The following is a 23,079-nucleotide window of genomic DNA, read 5'->3' as shown; positions in this document are numbered from 1 at the left end:
AGTGCTTGAGCCCAAAAAGATTATAGGCATGAACCACTGCACCCTGCCCTTAATAGTTTATTGATTGCATTGAAATAATATTTGATATATTGGGTTACATTTATTAAAAATAATTTCCACCTTGTTATTTTTACTATTGATAATGCAGCTACTAGAAGATTTAAATATATGTGTGGCTGGCATTGTATTTCTGTTGGACAGCACTGATCTAGAGACTTAACTCTGATTTTATTTATTATTGGTTTTTCCAAGACTGCTTCATAAGTGGTTGTGTGTTCTCATTAGGAGGCACGTAGAGTCTGGTTATCCTCCTTATTGTGATGTCATCAGTGACTGATATTTGATGCCTAAATACATTAGAGCCTGCAGAATGGTGAGTTCTAATGTAATCTTATTCCTTATTCATTTATTAGTAGAAAATGCTACCAAGAGAAATATTTCTTTGTCTATTATCTGCTTATCTAACAGTGCAAGTCACATAGGAAAGGTAAGATTAATGATAGATTCTTTGCCTTTATTAACTAGTTTTCAATGAATTTAATGAATTATTTCCTTACCAATCCAAAGGTGATGAGTTAATTTGGTATTATTATGAATTCATAGATTTAAATATATTTGATGTATTACAATGCATTGCTATTATGATGCTTATTACTGCTAAAATGGTTCCATTTTTGTCCTGTCAGAGTCTTTTCAAATTGCCCCGAGTCCTATTGACACAACTCTAGTAATCTTTGTAAGTTTGTAATCTCTGTTTCATCTGTAGTGATATCCCCTCTTTTGTTCCTGATATTGGCAATTTGTATCTTCTCTTTTTTTTTCTTGATCAGTCTCTTTTTATTTATCTTTTCAAAAAAACTAGGATTTTTTTGGTATTGTTACTTTTATTTTCTGATTTCTACACTTCTGCTTGCTTTGTGCTTAGATTCTTAAACTGAAAGATTAGATTATTGGTTTGAGAACTTTCTTTTCTAATATAAACATTTAATGTTGAAAATTTCTATTCCATACATTTTGACATGTTGTGTTCCATACATTTTGACATGTTGTATTTTCTTTCCTTTTTTTTTTTTTTTTTTTTTTTTTGAAACGGAGTCTTGCTCTGTCACCCGGGCTGGAGTGCAGTGGTGTGATCTCGGCTCACTACAAGCTCCACCTCCCAGGTTCACGCCATTCTCCTGCCTCAGCCTCCTGAGTAGCTGGGACTACAGGTGCCCACCACCACACCCGGCTAATTTTTTGTATTTTTAGTAGAGACGGGGTTTCACCATGTTAGCCAGGATGGTCTCGATCTCCTGACCTTGTGATCCGCCTGCCTCGGCCTCCCAAAGTGCTGGGATTACAGGCATGAGCCACTGTGCCCGGCCTGACATGTTGTATTTTCATTTTCATTCTGTTCAGAATATTTTCTACTTTCCCTTGAGATTTCTTCTTTGACCCCTGAATAATTTAGATGTGTATTGTTTAATTTTTAAATATTTGGGATTTCTCAGATTTTGTGTTAACAATTTCTCATTTAATTATGTGATAGTCAAAGAATATACTATGTATTATTTTAATTCATTTAAATTTATTCTGGTTTGTTTTGTTATCCAGAATGCAATCTATCTTGGTGAATGCATTCTGCATTTTTTTTACATGCACCTGAAAAAAAACTGTGTATTCTGTTGTCATTGAGTGGAGTGTTCTGTTAGTAGCAGTTATATCACATTGATTGCTCATGTTGTTCAGGTCTTCCATATCCTTGCTGATTTTCTGTCTACTTATACCAGTTACTGAGAGAGGAGTGTTGACATCTCCAAGTATAATTGTGGATTTGTCTGTTTCTGTTTTCAGTTCTATCAGTTTTTCCTTCATGTATCTTAAAGCTCTATTGTTAGTTGTATTACATTTTGGATTGTTATGAGTTCTTGGTGAATTGAACATTTTATTATCATGTAATATTCTTTATCCCTGGTAATTGTCCTTGTTCAGATTCTACTTTATTACTAATATAGCTACTTCATTCTTTTTTAAACAATAAATATTTGGATGATATAGCTTTTCTCATCATTTTACTTTTTTCCCCCTCTAGACTTTCATCTTTCCATGTATGTGTCAAAAGTCAAAATTACAACAAATTTAGTGCAAATACTTAATTTGCTTTTATTGGCAATTCTAGAATGGGGTAACATCTTATTCCATAAAACAGAATGGATATTCTGATGAGTTGCGCAGAGGAGGCTGGCTTTACAAGCAGAAAAGGGCTGCAGAAAGCAGAAATGGAACAAAAGGGAATTATTAACATCAGTTAGTTCAGGTTACTTTCTTACACGGTTAAAACAGAGGGGGACTTCCTTATGCTAGTTCAGACAAGCCGAGTCCCCTTCTGGTTAGTTGCTGTGAATCTCCTGCTTCATTTTGTTTTAATTGGCTCATTTCAAAGTTCACTGTGATTGCCTTGCACTTAATATGAATGACTCCATTCTGGTTTGGTCTGATCTTAGGACAGGAGCTCAGTCCAAAACAATAGCCTCCCACAAAATTCATTTAGCATATTTAATTTCTGATATGGTTTGGATTTGTGTCCCCACCCAAATCTCATGTTGAATTGTAATCCCCAATGTTGGAGGAGGGACCTGGTGGGAGGTGATTGGATCATGGGGACAGACATCCCCCTCACTGTTCTTGTGATAGTGAGTTCTCACAATATTTGGTTGTTTAAAAGTGTGTAGCACCTCCCCTTGCTTTCTCTTCCTCCTGCTCCTGCCATATAAGACATGCCTGCTTCCCCTTCACCTTCCGCCATGATTGTAAGTTTCCTGAGGCCTCCCCAGCCATGCTTGCAAAACCATGAGCCAATTAAACCTCTTTTCTTTATAAATTACCCAGTCTCAGGTATTTCTTTATAGTAGTGTGAGAATGAACTAATACAATTTCCTTCTTCAACAAGGAGAATTATGTCTCTTATTATCCTTCATATATAATTTGGAATTTTTTTAATTCCCCAAATACATATGAAGTAGCTAAATAAGAATTAACCCATATCACCAAAACAAACAAAAAACACCCCCTACTGACTAGAGTTCAAAATTTGATTATAGTGTTTTTTGTCTTTAGACTGAGGACATATAGTGTAAATATTGTTTTCAAAATATTAGTTGGCTTAATCTCCCTTTCCACTACCATTTACTCTGATTATGTTATTCTTTGAAACAAAATTTAGTTAGTTTCTTTTGGTTTTAGTTCATGTTAGGTTTTAAGGTTCCTCCTATCTTTGTTGACTTTTTTTCGTAGTATGTAAAATATTAACATAGTCACAAAAGTCATAACTATGCCAACAAGTTAGATCCAGAGAAGTGTCAGTGCCCCAACCCCTCTACCATGTACCAATCTCATTAGTTTATCTACCTGGTGTTTCTTTTGCTAAAATAAACAAGTGTTGTACATGCATATTTTATTTCCCCTCTTTGTTTATACAAAAGGGAACTATTATATAGATACTCCTTTGCATAGTTTCAAAAAAACTTAATAGACCTTTTTTTTAAAGCAGTTTTAGATTTACAGAAAAATTGAACATAACATACTGAAATTTCCCTTACATCTCGTCTCCCACTCCACCCCCTGCCCTATTTCCCCTATTATTAACATCTTGCATTAGTGTGATGCATTTGTTACAATTGGTAAGCAAATATTCATACATCATTATTAACTAAGGCCCACAGTTTGCATTAGGGCTCACTCTGTGTTTTACATTCTGTGGGCTTTGACAAATGTTTAATACCATGCATCCATTATTGCAGTATCATTCAGAATAGTTTTGCTGCCCTAAAACTCCCTTGTGTTCCACTTATTCATTCCTCCCTTCCTGCTTCTGACAGCCACTAATATTTTTACTGTCATCATAGTTTTGTCTTTCTAGAATGTTACATAGTTAGAATCATAGAGTATGTAGCCTTTTCAGATTTGTTCATTCACTTAACAATATGCATTTAAGGTTCCTTCATGTCTTTTTGTGGCTTGATAGCTCATTTCTTTTTAGCACTGAGCAATATTCCATTGTATGGATATGCCAGAGTCTGTTATCCATTCACCTGTTGAAGCATATCTTGGTTGCTTCCAAGTTTTGTCAATTGTGAATAAAGCTGCTACACATATTCATGTGCAGGTTTTTTTTGTGGGCATGTTTTCAACTCATTGGGTATAGGTATATATATAATAATGATTGCTGGATTATTTGGAAAGGGTACTCTTAGTTTCATAAGAAGAGCCAAACTGTCTTCCAAAGTTGCTGTGTTATTTTGCATTCTCACCAACAGTGTTCTTGTTTGTCCCACAGTTTGTCAGCAGTTAGTGCTATGTGTGGTTTGGATTTTGGCCATTCTAATAGGTGTGAAGTAGTGTTTTGTTGTTTTAATTTGTAATTCCCTAATGACATATGACGTTGAGCATTTTGTCATATGCTTACTTACTGTCTGTAGATGGTAAGGTGTCTGGTTAGATCTTTTGCCTATTTTTAAATTGTGACGCTTGTTGAGTTTTTAGAGTTCTTTGTTTTGGATACCAGTCTTTTTATCACATACATATTTTGCAGATATTTTCTCCCAGTCTGGGGTTTGTCTTTTCATTCTCTTTGCAGTCTTCATCATTTTACTTTTTAACTTATATATATTATTATATTTCAAGTAGATTGCTTTTAGAAAGAAACCTTGATCTTCTTTGGTTTTTTAAAAATCTAATCTAACAATCTGTTTTTTTAATTGGTGTTTAGATAATTTACATTTAATGTATTTTTAAAAGTTTTTGGTAAAATACACATAGCATAAAATTTGCCCTCTTAACCATTTTGAAGTGTATAGTTCAGTGGCATTAAGGACATTCACATTGTTGTGCAGCCATCAGTGGCATCCATCTCCGGAGCACTTTTCATCTTGCAAAACTGAAGCTTTGTACTCATTACACAAAAACTCCCCATTTGACCGCCTTCATATAAGTGGACTCAGGTAGTATTTTTCCTTTTGTGTCCGGCTTATTTAATTTACCATAGTGTCCTTAGGTTTCATCTATGTTGTAGCACATGTCAGAATTTCCTTCCTTTTTAAGGTTGAATAATATTTCATTTTATGTATAGTTGACCCTTGAACAACATGGGTTTGAATCATGCAGTTCCACTTATTATGTGGAGTTTCTTTCACCACTGCCACCCCTGAGACAGCAAAACCAACCCCTTCCTCCTGCCTCTCCCCCTCAGCCTGCTCAACATGAAGATGACAAGGATGATACCTCCAGCTAATGAAAAGTAAATATATTTTCTCTTCATTATTATTTTCTTAATAGTACTTTCTCTAGCTTACTTTATTGTAAGAATACAGTATATTCACATATTAACACACAAAATATATTAATCAACTGTTTATGTTATCAGTAAGGCTATTAGTCAACAGCAGGCTATTAGTAGTTAACTTTTTGGGGAGTCAAAAGTTACACATAGATTTTTGACTACACAGGAGTCAGCACCCTTAAACCTCATGTTGTGGAAGGGTCAGCTGTATATAACAAATTTTGTTTATCCACTCATCCTTTGATGGACACTCGGGTTGCTTCCAGTTTTTGGCTGTTGTAAATAATGCTATGAACATGAGTATACAAATATAAAATGAATGTGCATGAGTGTGAAGTACCCGCTTTCCTTTCTTTTGTGTGTATATCCCAGAAGTGGAATTCCATTTTTATGGATCATATAGCAATTCCATTTTTAGTCTTTTTGGGTGTGTGTGTGTAGTGTCACTCTCATTTTATTTTTTTAAGGAATTGTCATACTGTTTTCCATAGCAGCTGTATCATTTTACTTTCCCACGAACAGTGCACAAGGTTCTAATTTCTCCATAATCTCACTGATACTTATTTTCTGGGGTTTTGTTTGTGTGTGTGTTTCATATAGCAGCCATCCTAATGGTTGTTAGGTGGTTTACATTTTTACATTTAATGTAATTATTTATATGTTTGGATTTAACTCTACCATTGTATTGTAGGTTTTCTGTTTGTCTCCTCTGTTTCTTATTCCTCTGGATTCTTTCGGATTATTTAAAGTTTGAGTATTTCCTTTTATTTCTTTATTAGCTTCTTGACTGTATTTCTTCATATAGCTTTTAGGGATTTCTCTGGGGCTTACAATATACATACCTAACTTTTCACAATGTACCTAAAGTTAATATTTTTCTACCTTAAGTAATATATGGAAATCTTCCAGCCATATGTTATATTTGACATATGAATTACATACATTGAAAACTCTACTAGACAAGGTTATAATTTTTGCTTCCAATAGCCACAAATATTTTTAAGAACTTAAAGGGTAAGACATAATCTGTTATATTTACACAGACATTTATTGTTTGTGTTGCTCTTCCTTTGTTGATGAAGTCCAGGTTTTATTTTCCTTCCACCTAAAGAATTTCCTTTAGCATCTCTTTTGGAGAAGGTCTAGTAGTGACAAATTCTTAGTTTTCCTTCATTTGAGAATTTCTTTATTTTGCCTTTATTTCCGAAGAATATGTTCACCAGACCTAGAATTCTGGGTTGACAATTCTGCCCTTTCAGCACTTTAAAATGTTATTTCATGGCCTTCTAGCCTCCATGGTTTCTAATGAGAAATTCACAGTCATTTGAATTATGATTTATATATAATGCATTGTTTTTCTCTGGCTTTTTTTTTTTTTTTTTTTTTTTTGAGACAGAGTCTTGCTCTGTCGTCCAGGCTGGAGTGCAGTGGCGAGATCTCGGCTCACTGCAAGCTCCGCCTCCTAGGTTCACGCCATTCTCCTGCCTCAGCCTCCCAAGTAGCTGGGACTACAGGCGCCTGCCACCACGCCTGGCTAATTTTTTGTATTTTTAGTAGAGACAGGGTTTCACCGTGTTAGCCAGGATGGTCTTGATCTCCTGACCTCGTGATCCGCCCACCTCGGCCTCCCAAAGTGCTGGGATTACAGGCGTGAGCCACCGTGCCCAGCCTCTCTGGCTGCTTTTAAAGATTTTTTTTTCTGTCTTGATATTTGGCCACTTGATTATGATGTATCTAGGCATAGATTTCTTTGAGTTTAACCTGTTTGGGATTTGCTGATCTTTGTATATCTGTAAGTTAATATATTCTACCAAGTTTGGGAAGTTTTCAGTAATCATTTCTTTAAATCCTCTGTCTGCAGCAACATATTTCTCCTTTCCTGTTGTGATTTCAGTGACATGAGTGTTAGACCTTTCAGTATTGTCTTGAAGGTCTCTGAGGCTCTTTTCAATTTAAAAAATATATATATCTTTCTCTGTTATTCAGAATAGAGAATTTTCTTTTTACTTTTATTTTTATTATTATTTTTTAATTGACAATAATTGTACGTATTCATTGGGTACATGGGGATGTTTCAACACATACAATGTATGGTGATCAGATCAGGGTAATTAATATATTCATCATATCAAACATTTATCTTTTTTTGTTTTGGGAACATTCATTATTCTTCTAGCTATTTGAAACTATATATTATTGTTAACTATAGTCATTCTGAACTGGTATAGAACATTAGAACCTATTCCTCCTATCTAGCTGTGATTTTGAATCCTTAACAAGTCTCTCCCTATTCCTCCCTTCCCTCTACCCTTCCCAGTCTCTAGTATCTGCTATTCTACTTTTCGTTTTCATGAGATAAACTTTTTTTTAACTTCCGCAGATACAAGAGAATATGTGGTGTTTAACTTTCTGTTCCTGGCTTACTTCACTTAACATAATGTCCTCAAATTCCATCCATGTTTCTGCAAATGGCAGGATTTCATTCTTTATTATGGCTGAATAGTATTCCATGGTGTATATAACCACATTTTCTTTATTCATCTGTTGTTGGACACTTGGGTTGATTCTGTATCTGATTCTGTATCTTGGTTATTGTGAATAGTGCTGCAACAAATATGGGAGTGCAGATGTCTTTCCAATATAATGATTTCCTTTCCTTCGGTAAATTCCCAGTAGTGGGACTCCTGGATCATATGGTAGTTCATTTTCAGTTTTGTGAAGACCCTCCATACTGTTCTCCATAGTGACTGTACTAGTTTGCATTCCCACCAATGGTGTGTAAGAATTCCCTTTTCTCTACATCCTCAGTGTGGTTTTGATTTGTATTTTCCTGAGGATTAGGGATGTTGAGCATTTTTTCATATATTTGTTGGCCATTTTTATGTGTTCTTTTGAAAAACATCTGTTCAGATTCCCTCCCTCCCTCCCTCCCTCCTTTTCCTCCCTTCCTTCCCTCCTTCCCTCCCTCCCTCCCTTTCTCCTTCCCTCCTTCCTCCTTTCTTTCCTCCTCTCCCCTCCTCTCCTTGCCTCTCCTCACCTCTCCTCTCCCTGCCCCTCCCTTCCCCTCCCCTCCCATCCCCTCCCCTTCCTTTCCTTCCTTTTCTTCTCTCTTGTTTGTTGTTGCTGTTGTTTTTTGGTTGAGACAGGATCTCACTCTGTCACCCAGGCTGGAATGCAGTGGTGCAATCATAGCTCACCACAGTCTCGACTTCCTGGCCTCAGGTGATTCTCACATGTCAGCCCTCTGGGTAGCTGGGACTATAGGCACATGCCACCAAGTCTGGCTAATTTTTTGTACTTTTTGTAGAGATGGGGTTTCGCCATGTTGCCCAGGCTTGTCTCAAACTCCTGGGCTCAAGTGATCCTCCCGCCTTGGCCTCCCAAAGTGATGAGATTACAGATGTGAGCCACTGTACCTGGCTATTTGCCCATTTTTAAATCAGATGGTTTGTTTTTTTCCTGTTAAGATGTTTCCAGTTCCTTGTATATTCTAGATATTAATCCCCTGTCAGATGAGTAGTTTGCAAAGCCTGTAAGATTTCTTCTAAGAAATCTGCTGTTATTCTGATGGAGATTCTGTTACATGTGACTTGACCGTTTTCTCTTGCTGCTTTTAAAAACTTTTTCTTCTTTTTTAAATTTTGTCAATTTTATTATAATGTGTCTTGGAGAGGATCTGTTTGGGTTGAATCTGTTTGAGGTTCTTTGAGCTTCCTGGGCCTAGATGTCCATCATTCTCCCAAGACTTGGGAGGTTTTCTGCTATTATTTCATTAAATACATTTTACTCAACTTTTCCCTTTTTATCTCCTGGAATGCCCATAATATGAATATTTGTTTGCTTAATGGTGTCCTATAAATCTTCTTCATTCTTTTTTGTTCTTTATTATTATTTATTTTGTCTGTGTTATTTCAAAAGACCTGTCTTCGAGTTCAGAAATTCTGCTTGGTCTGGTTTGTTGTTAAAGCTCTCAGTTGTATTTTTTCATTCACTGAAATCTTCAGCTCCAGGATTTCTGTTTGGTTCTTTGTGTTAACTACCTCTTTGTTAAACTTCTCATGCAAATAATGAATTGTTTTTCTGATTTTGTTATCTATGTTTATTTTCTTGTATCTCACCGAGTTTCCTTAAGATTATTTTGAATTCTTTTTCTGGCGTTTCATGTATATTTCCTTATAATTGGGATCTGTTCCTATAGAATTATTGTTTTCTTTGGAGGTTACATGTTTCCTTGCATTTTCATCGTTGATGTGTCCTTATGCTGATTTCTATGGATCTAGTAGAAAAGTTGCCTCTTCCAATTTTATGGAGTAGGTTTCATAGGGAAAGATTTATTTGTATGAATGGGTCATGTCATATCAGTTTGGTGGGGGTCATTGGCCTTGGTTCTAGGTAGACACAGTAGTGTAGTCCTCATATAGTTTCTTCAGCTGCAATCCACACTAGTGGTGTTTGCAAATTTCTCAGTGGCCTAGGCCAAGAGAGTTTGTGGCAATAGTGGCCCAGCCTTGCCAGGGATGGGCTCACCAGCCTGCTTCTCAGATTGAGGGTGTGTGTGTGTGCACATGGTGGGACAGCCAGCTTGGGGTCGGGCTCCCTGTGTTGGTCACTTGGCTGGCCTGGGGGCAGGCCCACAAGGCTGTTTTTCAGGCTTGGGACACAGCCGCATGACTGCTCAGTTGGCCTGGAGACATGTCTGCTGACCGTGGCCCATGGGACTGTTTCTCTGGCTTAGCATGTGGGCATACAGCTGCTTGGTTGGCCTGGAGTCTGTCTTCTGGGTGGTGGCCCAGAGGGCTGCTTCTCAGGTCTAGGATATGGTAGGATATTGTTGCACAGCTGCCTGGCTGGCCTGGGGGTATGTCTGCCTGGGGCAGCTCATGGGGCTGTTTCTTAGGCCTGGGATGTAGGCACACAGCTGTTCAGCTGGCCTGGGGATGTGTCTGCAGGGGGTGACCCATTGGGCTGTTTCTTAGGCCACGGACATTGGTGCACAGCTACTTGGCTGGCCTTGGGGCTTAACCTCCAGGGGCAGCCTATGGAGCTGTTTTTCAGTCCCGGGTATGGGCACATAGCTGATCAGCTGGCCTGGGGCCATTTCTGCCAGGGGCAATCCGTGGAGCTGCTTGTCATGCTCTGATTGTGGGCATAGGGCCATTAAGCAGGTCAGGGACTTGTCTGCATGGGGTGGGGCACCTGAGGGCTATTATGTTGGCCCTGGGTGCAGGCGTTTAGCTGCTCTGCTGGCCTGGAAATGTGTCAGTTGCTTGGAGGCTTGAGGGGTAGGGCACATAGCAGTTTGGCTGGCTCAAGAGCAGTTTCACCCTGGGCAGGACTCCCACACTGTTCCTCTGGCTGGAAGTGAGGATGGTGGGAGTCAGTCTCCTACTGTGCAGGCCCAGTGTTACAGCTGATGCTGGGGCTTTATGCTGCTGGGATGTGGTGGAATGAAGATGGAGCCCTGGTGCTGGAGAGGTGCAGTGGCTACTGGCCTGCAGAGGAGGGTGCACTTCAGAGGTGGCTCTGGTCTCAAGATGGTAGAGTGCTACAGCAGCTTGGCTCACAGTGGGTGAGGGTGGGGGTGTGGAGGGCACACTTTGTGTTCCTAATCTGGGGCAGTGCAACTGGATGAATTCCAGGCAGCTCTCCAAACTGGGAGACTGTGGGATTCTCTTTTTGTAAGGACTGCAGGCATCAGCAGTGGCAGTGGGGTTGATGGGGATCTTCTGCTTACCTTTTCCCTGTGATGGGAAGTCCCTCCTGACTCCAGGCGGATCTGATTTGGGCAGGGGAGACAGGGCTGCAGACACTGGGTGCCTCCACGCTGCCCTCTTAACTTTTTTTTTTTTTTTTGAGACGGAGTCTCGCTCTGTCACCCAGGCTGGAGTGCAGTGGCGCAATCTCTTATAGAGATCTTGCAACCTCTGTCTCCTGGGTTCAAGTGATTCTCCTCCTTCAGCCTCCTGAGTAGCTGGGATTACAGGCATGTGCCATCATGTCCAGCTAATTTTTGTACTTTTAATAGAGATGGGGTTTTACTATGTTGGCCAGGCTGGTCTCAAACTCCTGACCTCAACTGATCCACTCTCCTCAGCCTCCCAAAGTGCTGGGATTACAGGTGTGGGCTACCACACCTGGCCTGCCCTCCTGGACTTTTGATCACCATAGGTAGGTCTACACTCCTCTGCTGTACTCCAGCACTCTCCCTTTGACACTCCAGTCAATTCTTAGCTGTTTATTTGTTGTTTTTGCCCTTTCTTGTGGGAAGAATGAATGCCAGGTATTTCTAGTCAGTCATCTTGCTCCTGAGCTCAGAGGTTTTTTTGCTGCTAGGTCACTGCCTCCTTTCTGGCTTTTAGTGGCACCTTAAGCCCAGGTTTACCTCAGCCCTAGTAAATGATTGGAGAGCTGCCCTTTCAAATGAGGGAGGTCCCAAAGGGGATATCCAGAACGTGTGGGAAGGTTGGCTAAGGACTCGTGCCCAGGGGACGTGTGGGATGAACCTCCTACAGCATGGCGCTGCTTAACAGACATTTGCTTTGGTGTCTCATTTGGCAGAGTTACAGAGCAGTTTCCAGGGCTGGGGATGTCCTGCCTTCCCACTTTGTCTCTGCCAGTCCTCAGGGATATTTCTCCCTTTAGGTACTTGTGATGCTTTCTGTGGGTTAAGATAAGGACAGGACTCCTGCCAGGAACGTAAGATGGTGGGGAAGCTGGTTGTCCACCTTAATCTCACTTTTCCTGGTGTAGAAACAGTGAGTTGGGGGGAAGTTTTCCACGTGCTTGGTGCCAGGCAGAATGGGGGAAAGGGTGTCATGGATGTGGAAGTCCTATTCTCTTACCATCTGCTTGGAGGTTTTTCACTTCTCTGCAATCCTGAGAACTGTCTCATTTTCATATATGAGTTCTGGGATATTTCTGGTGATGGTCTTGGCACTGTATATTTGTTTTTGGTTTTCTGGATGGAGTGGGGGAAGTGAAACAAGCTTGCTTCTACGCTGCCATTTTGGAGCTGAGAATTTCTTTTAAAGTTTTTAATTATTTCAGCATCTGAGCAGTCTTGTGGTTGGCTTTCTTGATTGCTTTTCCTCCTTAGGGTTGTTTAATGTATTCCTAGTTCCTTGTATGTCAAGTCATTTTGGATTGTGTCCTGAACATTTTGAATATTCTTTATGCTGTTCTGGGCCCTGTTACAGTCTTGGGAAGAAGGCTGACCTTTTTTGTTTTAGCAGACAGTCAACTCGGCTAGGTCCAGACCAAAAGTCCTGGCCTAGTTCCTGTGGGCTGTGTTTCCATTGTCAGTTTAGTTTCCAAAGCTCTGTAGTGCCTTTATGTTCAATCTCTGTGTTAGGCTGAATAATGACTCCCCAAAGATGTCCATGGCCGAATCCCCAGAACCTGTGAATATGTTGTTTTATGTGGTAAAGGGGACTTTGCAGATGTGATAAAGGATCTTAAGATGGGAGATTATTGTGGATTAGTGTGTGGGCCCAGTGTAATCACAAGGATCCTCATGGGAGAGAGACAGGAGAATCAGGAAAAGGAGCTGTGATGGCCAAAGCAGAGGTTGGCGTGATGTGATCTGAAGATGGAAGAAGGGGCCAGGAGCCAGGAAGTACACGCGGCCTCTGGAAGTTAGAAAAGGCAAGGAAGTGGATTCTTCCCTAGAGCCTCCAGAACACGGGTCGGCCAACACCTTGGTTTTAGCTCCTAAGACCCATTTTAGACTTCTGACCTCCCAAATCATAAGATAATAAATTTGTTGTCTTAAAGCCACTAAGTTTGCAGTGATTTTTTATAACAATCCTAGGACACTAATACAGTTCTCCATGTGCACCACGCAGGGGCAAGTCTAAGAACCTGGTGGTGGCCTACATCATAGTTCAGATCTCACAGCCTTTTCCCTCTTGGTCCTGGTCAGTTCTACACATGGGCAGCTCAGGATTTTGTGCAATAATTGGAAGGACCGCTTTCTCCAGCTCCTTACTCTCTGTGATCTTCCCCTGACTCTCAGGCTCCTAAGACACCCCTTTCCTGGTGGTTTGACCAGAGAGACAAGAACCCTTAGGAATACTTCTGCTATCATGGCCACTGTTGCTGTGAGGAGGCTAATGCTTTCCTAGGGCTCACCTGGGTCTGGGTCTGGAGAGTGTAATGAGAGAGGGTTTTTCTTCTGGGGTTCTGGCTGCCCTAGAGAATAAACTAGGAGATAAGGAGTAAAAGGCAAACCCACCCTGTGGGTCATTCTTTGACTTCCTTTTCCTACCCAGTTTACTGACTTCTAAAAAAAAATTTTCTCGGAGCCCATTAATAATTGTTTTCTGTCTCCTGTTCAAGATTTTTAGCTGTAATCAATGGGAAAGATGCAGTAGAATATACCTACACCATCTTAACCAGAGCCAGAAGTTTCTTCATTTCTTTGTTACTTAAAAAAATTTCCTGCCCTTCTTTTTACCCTTCTGTTTGTCTTAAGGCATTATTCGTTTTTTATTCACTGTTACATCCTTTCTAGTTTAGCCTGCGTTTCTAAAATAATTTTTTGCTAATTCTCCCTGAGTTATTTTACTTCATTTGTGAGTTTTCCCAATTTTGGGGTTATATTGTTCTTTCATTTCCTATATTATTGTCACATGCCCTTTTGCTTGTGTTGAAGATATTAGGTTATCATTTTCTTTTGTAGCCATGTCTTTCTGCAGTGCTTTTATTGCCTATGGGGTAGCCTTCTCCTTTCGAAGTCTTTTCTTATATCTATATAGTATTTCCTCTCGATCCTTTTGTTGCTTATTTTTACATGGAATTATGTTTCTTGAACTTTTAGAAGGAAGCCTGGATTTCATGGCTCTGGAGCTCTCTCTCCTGTTATTTTTGTGAAGTGTTGAAATAAATGGCTGCTGACTTTCTGAAATCTCACTTTGCTCCCGTCACCTCCTTCTATTTGGACCTCTTTTTTCTTTGTTTTTTTTGTCCCTGTGCTGTTCAATTCAGATTCTCTCCCTGGTAATTTTTCCTTAATCTGGGCTCTGTCCTGGAAGAAGCCTTGGGCTGGTTAGTTTTGAGGATTCACAAGGCTCATCCTTGCCATGGAACCCTTGCACTACCCCGAGAGCTGGGGCACAAAGCTCCTCTCACTGCCCACTGCTCTCCTCAGCATGGCCCCTGTGCATTCCCATGAGTCCCTGTTGGGTTCTCAGTTCCATTCCATGCCAATTACTTTTCTCTACTTTCTTCCTCACACAGGTGTACCACAGTCTCGTAGGTATTAATGGCATGTTCCTACTCACTTGGGATTTGGAGTTCCAGGGAGTCTTTACTATTTAATTTTATTTTCGATGTTGTCCAGTGGTCTTTAGGTTTTTCATCCTGGTTTCTCTGTTTTTAATGGGCAATTCTGGATGATTAAAAACACTGTGTGGCCACTGCCTCCATCCTCGCCTCCATCCTCCTAAGTTATTTTGGTGAAAAGGTGTGTTCTTCTGCCAAGCACAGGTTCTAGGTAGGAAACTCACAGGAGAGAAGTGAAGATTTAGCACAGTCACTGATGGAAATAGGAAAGAGAGCTATCTGAGAGTAAGGTGAGGGCACAGTTGGAGGTGGGGTCCATGTATTCATAGTGGCACCAGCACCAGTCTGTGTGAATGTGGGCTTTTTCCTCTGTTTGCAGCTGTCACCCCAAATGAAACATCAGAGGAGGCTGATAGGTGAATTAAGTTAGGATTGCAGTTTTGTCTTGTTTATCCAACAGAAAGATGACAATGTTAGGAAAGTCAGATAATTTGGGGGAGAAGAATTCCATTCTTGGGAAGTGAAACCAGGGTGGGGCTGCTAAACTGGGAGGCAATGGAAAGGATCAAGAAACTGAATGTCTCTAATGAAACTAAAGAGCAAATGCAGTAGTAGACCATGTGAATGTGCTAGATGGAGGCCTGCCAGAGATTGCATGGGTAGAGCAGATCCAGGTAACAACAACAACAACAACAACAACAACAACAACAATGAAAGGTCCCACCTTAGGTGCAGGCTAATATACCTGATCTCTATAAATTATTAGATGCCCTGGAATTTCCAATTTCTCAACAAATGGTAAATCAATAAACCTTGCTGTTTATATCATCGCAGCAGTTTAAGAGCCACAAAGAAGATCATAGGCTCAAGAAACTTTGCAAGTATTCCTAAAAATACATAAATAGCTCTAGTCATGTGTCTATAATATGGGATCTACATAGAGCACAGAGCTTTTCTAACAATTTCACTGTGGCAACAAAGCAAAGTTAATTTTGATATGAGATAATAGTCTTTCTAAACATTGTGTATGGTTACTCTTACAGCTGAACGTTTCTTGAGAAAGTGTTGGAAATTAATTACAAATTTCTATTTTAGCATTTTAATGAGTGCAAAGTATTTTAACAGGACTTTGCAAACAGAACATCCCTTTAGAAAGAAATGTGACAATCCACAGTAACATTATACTTAGTATGTTACTGAAATAAAGGCTATTTGTGGTGGGGAGTCTGAACTTATGTCACATATTTAATGGAAACATCAGTAAGCTGTCAGCTCTGTAGTTTATCATACTTTAATAAAGAAATTTAACAGATTATGTTTAAAATGGACCAAAGAAAGGAGTAATTGCCTATCACACTGTAAAAAATCAGTCACAAATCTTTGGAATGTTTCTTTACACTAATTTCCACAGTGTTTGAGCTTCAGTATTTAACCACAGAAACAGTAAAGCAACCCTACATTCTCAAGATTTTATGGCTAGAATTGGATGCAACTTTAGCTGTCTATTAATACCAATGTTAATCTAAATACAAATATTAAAAAATATTTTTATGCTTTAATATGATTTTTTTTTTTTGAGACAGAGTCTTGCTCTGTTGCCCAGGCTGGAGTGCAGTTGTGCCATCTCTGCTCACTGCAAGCTCCGCCTCCCAGGTTCACGCCATTCTCCTGCCTCAGCCTCCCGAGTAGCTGGGACTACAGGCGCCTGCCACCATGCCTGGCTAATTTTTTTGTATTTTTAGTAGAGACAGGATTTCACCATGTCAGCCAGGATGGTCTCGATCTCCTGACCTTGTGATCCACCCACCTGGCCTCCCGAAGTGCTGGGATTACAGGCGTGAGCCACCGTGCCTGGCCTTCAATATGATATTTTAATGACAATACTAGAATTAATGTGAAAGTTTTCAATTTTTAAATATAGGTGGGACAAATGACTGATTATTCTTTGCTGCAGGTGACTTAAAAAGATTGTCATGTTGTTCAAAATTAACAAAGTATAAAATGTCTAAGAGCCTTTTCCAGAAGTTGTCAGGTCACACTTTTGCAGCTGTCATTGGATGTGTGGGTTGGTTGTTTTAGTTTATATGTAGAGTAGTTATTGTAGGTGTGTTTATTGGATTTTTTTCAATTAAAAATATTACAATATGAGTAGAGAGAGACTGAAGTCTTCTGGACAGATGATTCCTATGAAACATTTTGCTGCATTCAGAAAAGGATTTTATCAACTTCAGAGAATATCAATCTTATTCCTTCTGCTACCATATAAAAATACATATATTTTTCTTTTTTTTTTTGGAGACAGAGTCTTGCTCTGTCACTCAGGCTGGAGTGCAGTGGTGCGATCTTGGCTCACTGCAGCCTCCGCCTCCTGGGTTCAAGTGATTCTCCTGCCTCAGCTTCCCGAGTAGCTGGGATTACAAGCATGTACCACTATGCCCAGCTAATTTTTGTATTTTTAGTAGAGACAGGGTTTCACCATGTTGGCCAAGCTGGTCTTGAACTCCTGACCTCAAGTGATTCACCTGCCTTGACCTCCCAAAGTGCTGGGATTACAGGCGTGAGCTACTGCACCTGGCCCCTATATTGATTTTTCTTAAGAAATATTTTGAGGGCCAGGTGCGGTGGCTCACACCTGTAATCCCAGCACTTTGGGAGGCCGAGGCGGGTGGATCACGAGGTCAGGAGATGGAGACCATCCTGGCTAACACAGTGAAACCCTGTCTCTACTAAAAAAAAAAAAAAATTTGCCGGGCGTGGTGGTGGGCACCTGTAGTCCCAGCTACTCGGGAGGCTGAGGCAGGAGAATGGTGTGAACCCAGGAGGCGGAGCTTGCAGTGAGCCGAGATCGCGCCACTGCACTCCAGTCTAGGCAACAGAGCAAGACTCTGTCTCAAAAAAAAAAAAAAAAAAGTATTTTGAGAATTCTAAATTAGAATTTGCTTCTGAGTCTTCACAAGATTACAATTACTTTCTGTTGTACTTCTTTCAGGAATGAGGGCAGAATGTGTTGACCTCAGAATTCCATATCATTATTTGAGCTTGTATCATAATTTAGAAGAGAAGAAAACTTGGACCGGGGGGTAATGGCCAAATACGGTGGGAAAACTCTGCCTTTTGTATCCAGTTTAGTAAAGTTAGAGTGAATGTTAGTGTGTTTTTGATTCTGAGAAATCTGTAGTAAAGAAACCTATTTAACCTTGATAAACCTAGCATTTCCCAAATTTATTTAATCTCAAAACCTTGTATACCACTGTTCATAGCAGCATTATTAATAATACCCGAAATGTGGAAATAACCCAAATGTTCAATAACTAATGAATGGATAAACAAAATGTATTCATTTTTGTATATATCCATTGTGTGTATCTGTATAATGGAATAATATGGAGCCATAAAAGAATGAAGTGCTGACACATGCTGCAGCATGGATGAATCTTGAGAATACTTTGTTAAGTGAAAGAAGCCGGAAACACAAGGCCAAGTATTGTATGATTCCATTTTTATGAAACGTTCGCAATAGGCAATCCACAGAGACAGAAAGTAGATTAGTGGTTGCCCGGGGTTAGGGGTTGGGGAGAATGGGGAGTATGCTAATGGGTACAGGTTTGTTTCTGGGGTGATGAAAGTGTTCTGCAATTAGTGGTTATTGTTGCTCAATTCGTGAATATACTGAAAAACCACTTTAAAAGGGTGAAGTGTATGGTATGTGAATTATATGTCAATAAAGCTGTTACTTAAAAAAAAAAACCTCCATAAAAAAGGGGCTATAGCAACAATTAGGGCAAGTGATAAGGGTTTAAAAATAAGGCAGTGGTGATAGAAAGTGACTGGAGAATTTAGGGGGTGAATTGAAGAGCCTCAGTGGCTGATTTGTACTAACAGGAACGTAAAGTCCCAGGGCTAACACCCTAAGGAGACAGTGCTCATGGGTCCTGTGGTGCCCAGGTTTGCACTTGAGCAGTGGCCAGCTTCGCTGAGAATGAAGGAATTCTGTACACGTAGTGAAAGAAAACCCTTTAACTAAAACTTCTAATGGCAAAAACTGCCATTACTTGTGCACCAACCTAATACTTCTTCAGTCATCTGTAGGCTGCAGGGCTGGCTACAGCAGCACACTTGCTTATACCTTTTCATGTGCTGTTGCCAGTGGAGTTGGGGTAATCTGGCTGGTGCTGCACATCAGGGTGAGGCGGCCCATGGTGGGAGGTGGAGAAGGCAGTCTTACCGACCTAGTATGAGCCACTCAAAGGCTGTCCTCATTTTCTAGGAGGAAACACACCCAAATGACCTGCATATGTTCCATAGTGGGCAGCAGAGTGCATGCATGGCAAGTTTGGATGGTGAACACACATTCTTGGAGTCTTATTTTTTTTTTGTAAAGAGATCCATGGGATTCCTCTTTGTCTACTCCCAACAGCACACCTCAGTTTTTTTACCATCATGTGAAAACAGCAGGCTTCTTGGAGTTGAGTCCTTATGTTATTCAGCTCCTTGACCCAGCTGGGAAAACTTTCTGTATCCTTGGATACCAAGGTCATGATATTCCCTTTGGGGCCGAGGCTGCTGTGGTCAGCACTTATGCTGTTCTCCCCTCTCCTCTGCTCTCCCAGGCCGAGGCTGTGATTCCACAAGCATGTGAGGAACTCCTTGAGAGTCCATCACACAATGCAGGCTCACAGCAGGAGTTTCTAATGAGGCGGCAGTGGATGGTCTCACATCTCAGTGAGAGGACTCTTTCCTTACCCCAGTCCCAGGTTTTCTGTTTAAAGCCAAATCCTTCATTATGTTGCTGAGACTCTTACCAGGTGTTTTTAAAACCACTTCTAAAGAGGACTATTTTTAACAGAGCTGAATGTCTATCCCATTCACAGAGTTCTCTGTTTTCTTACTACGGATTTTTGAGGTAGCCTGGGGAGGAGGATTGTGCCTTAAAAACTCCAGGCAGACTTGGAGGGGCTGTGTAGTGCGAGCTCCTGGAGTCTCACTGAGCCAGGTTTGAAGGCTGAGATGCTGTAAACCTGCTCTCTGCTTAAGGTCTCAGGGCCCTGTGGCCTCACTCCTGCAATGGGGATAACCATCCTGTGCAGGACCGTAATGAGCATGAAACTCAACAGTGTACAGAGAGCACTTGGGGCATGGCCTAACTATAACCGGGCAAGCCACTTTTCTGAGACTGTTTCGTCTTCTTAAAGGGTGAAGATGAAGCCCTATGCCTTTTAGGGTAGTTGAGAGGATAGAATGAGTTAATGTGTGTAATTATGTTGTATACGTATATTAAGGTTCAATTAGAGGAGACATGTACAGGGATCTTAATAACCCATTCCAGAGTTTTAGCACGAATACATGGCAGCATATTTTTTATTTGTAATTGTCTTTGTTACTTGATAGTGAACCTCTCTAACTTCTCCATTGCTTATGGTACCCAAAATAGGAGATGATCTTCACAAAAGAGAATCTCAGACTGAAATTCTGGGGAAAGGGCCAGGCGCAGTGGCTCACTCCTGTAATCCCAGCATTTTGGGAGGGTGAGGTGGGTAGATCACCTGAGGTCAGGAATTCGAGACCAGCCTGGCCAACATGGTGAAACCCCCATCTCTACTAAAAATACAAAAATTAGCTGGACGTGGTGGCAGGGGCTTGTAATCCCAGCTACTTGGGAGGCTGAGGCAGGAGAATCACTTGAATCCAGGAGGCGGAGGTTGCAGTGACCCCAGGTCGTGTCATTGCACTCCATCCAGCCTGGGCAACAGAGTGAGACTCTGTCTCCAAAAAAAAAAAAAAAAAAAAAAAAAAAAAAAAAAAAAAAAGAAAGAAATTCTGTGGAAAGATTACTCTCTGTCCCTCACTACCCATTTTTAAAAATATATATATTTATATCTTATAAAAATAATGTCATTATAGAAATTCTGGACAAGAGAGAAGAAAAATTGCCTGCAATTCCATGAATACAACTGATAGTATTTTTCTGACTGCAAATCTGGTCATTAAAAAGATACACATCTTACCTATCTTTAGATGTATATCTTATATATCTTTATATATGTGTATCACATACCCACAATCATAAAAATATACATTGTTTTCCCTTTTCTAAGTGTTTTCCAAATGGCAGCATGTCTTTAGTATTACCTGTCTCACGGAAATGTGAAGGCTTCACGCAGCCAGTGCTTAGCACAGTGTCGGGCATGTTGTTAGTGTCAGTAAATGAGAGCAAGTTATTATGACGGTCATCCCTCAGCATCTGCAGGGGATTGGTTCCTAGACCCCCAGGGATACCAAAACCCTGGATGCTCAAGTCCCTGATATTAAAGGGGTTTGTATTTGCATATAACCTCTGCACATCCTCCAGTGTACTTTAAATCATCTCTAGATTACTTATAATACCTAATACAACGTAACGGCAATGTAGCTGGTTGTTACACTGTATTGTTTTTTCATTTGTATTATTCTGTATTGGTTTTTTGCCCCCCAATTTTTTCCATGCACGGTTGGTTGAATCTGAATGGGGAACCTCTGGGTATGGAGGGCAGCTGTGTATGACTTTTCTCATAGTTTTATGATTTCCTCATGGATGCTCAGAGTGGATTCACCAGGTCAGGTGTGAATACTTCTGTGGCTCCTGATACCCGGCGTCTGCCTCACTGCTCTCTAAAAGCGTTGTTTTGGTTGACAGAACCCTTCACTGCTCACGGGGTTCACGGCTCCTCATGAGCAGTTGGAGTCCCTCTCCCCACCATTTTTCTTAGGTTTGGGGAGCTAATTTAGTAGCTAAAGATGTTACTACCTCACAATTATTTTCATTATTTAACAACTGCCATTGTTGAGCTTTTTTGTTGTATGTTTGTTTACTGGCAACGTTTCCTCTTTGTTAGGTCTGTTTAAGACCTATTCTCTTTAACTGTTGGAATCACTTAGCCTTTTCTTATTGAATTACATGGGTTCTTTAATAAAGAGATAAATCCTTTGTCATATGGACTGCAAATATTTTTCCTGACTGTTCTCTTCTTATTTTGGCTATGGGTTTAAAAAAAATCATACACATGCATAATGTGAACCATTTTCTGTTTGTGGCCGTCACAGTGAACTTTCTCACTATCCACATCAGCTCTGATGGTTTCACTTGGATGCTCCCCTTTGTCTCATGGACTCCTGATATAGTGGACACACATGGCTTTTATGGCAAAATGCAATTTGTTCACCCCCCAGAGTTAAGTCTGAAATACACAGACTCTTCGTAGACCCAGAGAATGTGTTTCTCTTGATTTAGGGAAATGAGGTAGACAGGAAAAGAGTTAACAAGATGATTGCTTGATTTTTATCTCAAGTTATAATTTCAGCTCTTCATGATTGGCATCCTCTAGACATTCGCCATCCTTTAGGACTGAAGGTATCACTGCAAATATTTATTTGACAAGAGTATGGTCCACTCACCATAAAGCCTCAGCCAAGTTCTCTCAACATCTCCCTCTCTCGCCTACCCTGACCACCACCTTCCGATTTTTTTTTTTTTGGCAAGGAGACCCTTAGTCTTGGTGAGATTTGTGAATTAATGGTGTGAGGCTCTTCACATGGATGACAAAGCTGGCCAATATGCTTTCTGCGAATCTGTGAAATCTAAACTACTTTCCCTGCCAGAGGACAGGTGCTCCCATCTGGCGCTCTACCTTTTCTCCCCAGGGAGCCTGGCACGCAAGTCCTTAGCATAGCAAGGTAGGTCTATACAGCAGCCTAGAGAGCAGCACCAGCCATGACTGAAGAAGGCAGTGAGGCCCCCCGACTGGATTTTAGGATAGGATAGAAATCACCCTGGCTGGGCGCAGTGGCTCACGCCTATAATCCCAGCACTTTCGGAGGCTGAGGTGGGTGGATCACCTGAGGTTGGGAGTTCGAGACCACCCTGACCAACATGGAAAAACCACCGTCTCTACTAAAAATACAAAATTAGCCGGGTGTGGTGGCATAGGCTTGTAATCCCAGCTACTCAGGAGGCTGAGGCAGGAGAATCGCTTGAACCCGGGAGGCGGAGGTTGTGGTGAGCCTGAGATCGCGCCATTGCACTCCAGTCTGGGCAACAAGAGTGAAACTCCATCTCAATAAAAAAGAAAAAAAGAAAAGAAAAGAAAAGAAATCACCCTGTATTCCTCTTCCTGGAGAAAGTGTGTTGTGTCTCCTCTTAGGCTCATGAGCTGGACTTGCCATGTGGCTCTAAGTGGGTCCCTGGCACAGCAGTGATACCAGTGGGAAGCTAACAGCTTTGAAGCTTTCAGTTGCACAAGTGTAATAAGAAGAGCACTTCAATGAAAGGAAGAGCCTCAGAGCCAGTGCCAGCGTGTTTGCAAGTCCCTTTCAACTTTTACCTTCAATTGTCTTCTTGGCTTTTCAACTCTAAACCTTCCCTCAATATGGAGTCCCATCCTTTCTAATCATTAAGTTCTGCACTAAAGTCTATAAGAGAACCCATACAGCTGATGTATGAG

General features: G+C 40.7%; 1 protein-coding gene across 3 annotated transcripts in view; it reads left to right on the top strand.

The window, feature by feature from the left end:
- Window positions 1-23,079, top strand: part of ATAD2B (ATPase family AAA domain containing 2B) — a 249,155-nt gene that overhangs the window by 195,372 nt on the left and 30,704 nt on the right. The window contains exon 30 of one of the 3 annotated variants that reach the window (XM_047444799.1): window positions 286-373. The exons of the other annotated variants lie outside the window; for them this stretch is intronic. Coding sequence (XP_047300755.1) covers window positions 286-337 — 52 coding nt within the window. The 3' untranslated portion in view covers window positions 338-373. The remainder of the gene's footprint in view (window positions 1-285; window positions 374-23,079) is intronic. 3 annotated transcript variants of the gene reach the window in all.

The sequence above is a fragment of the Homo sapiens genome, chromosome 2 (assembly GCF_000001405.40).
Source record: "Homo sapiens chromosome 2, GRCh38.p14 Primary Assembly".
NCBI classification, from domain to species: Eukaryota; Metazoa; Chordata; class Mammalia; order Primates; family Hominidae; genus Homo; species Homo sapiens.
This window is presented reverse-complemented; position numbering and strand designations above follow the sequence as displayed.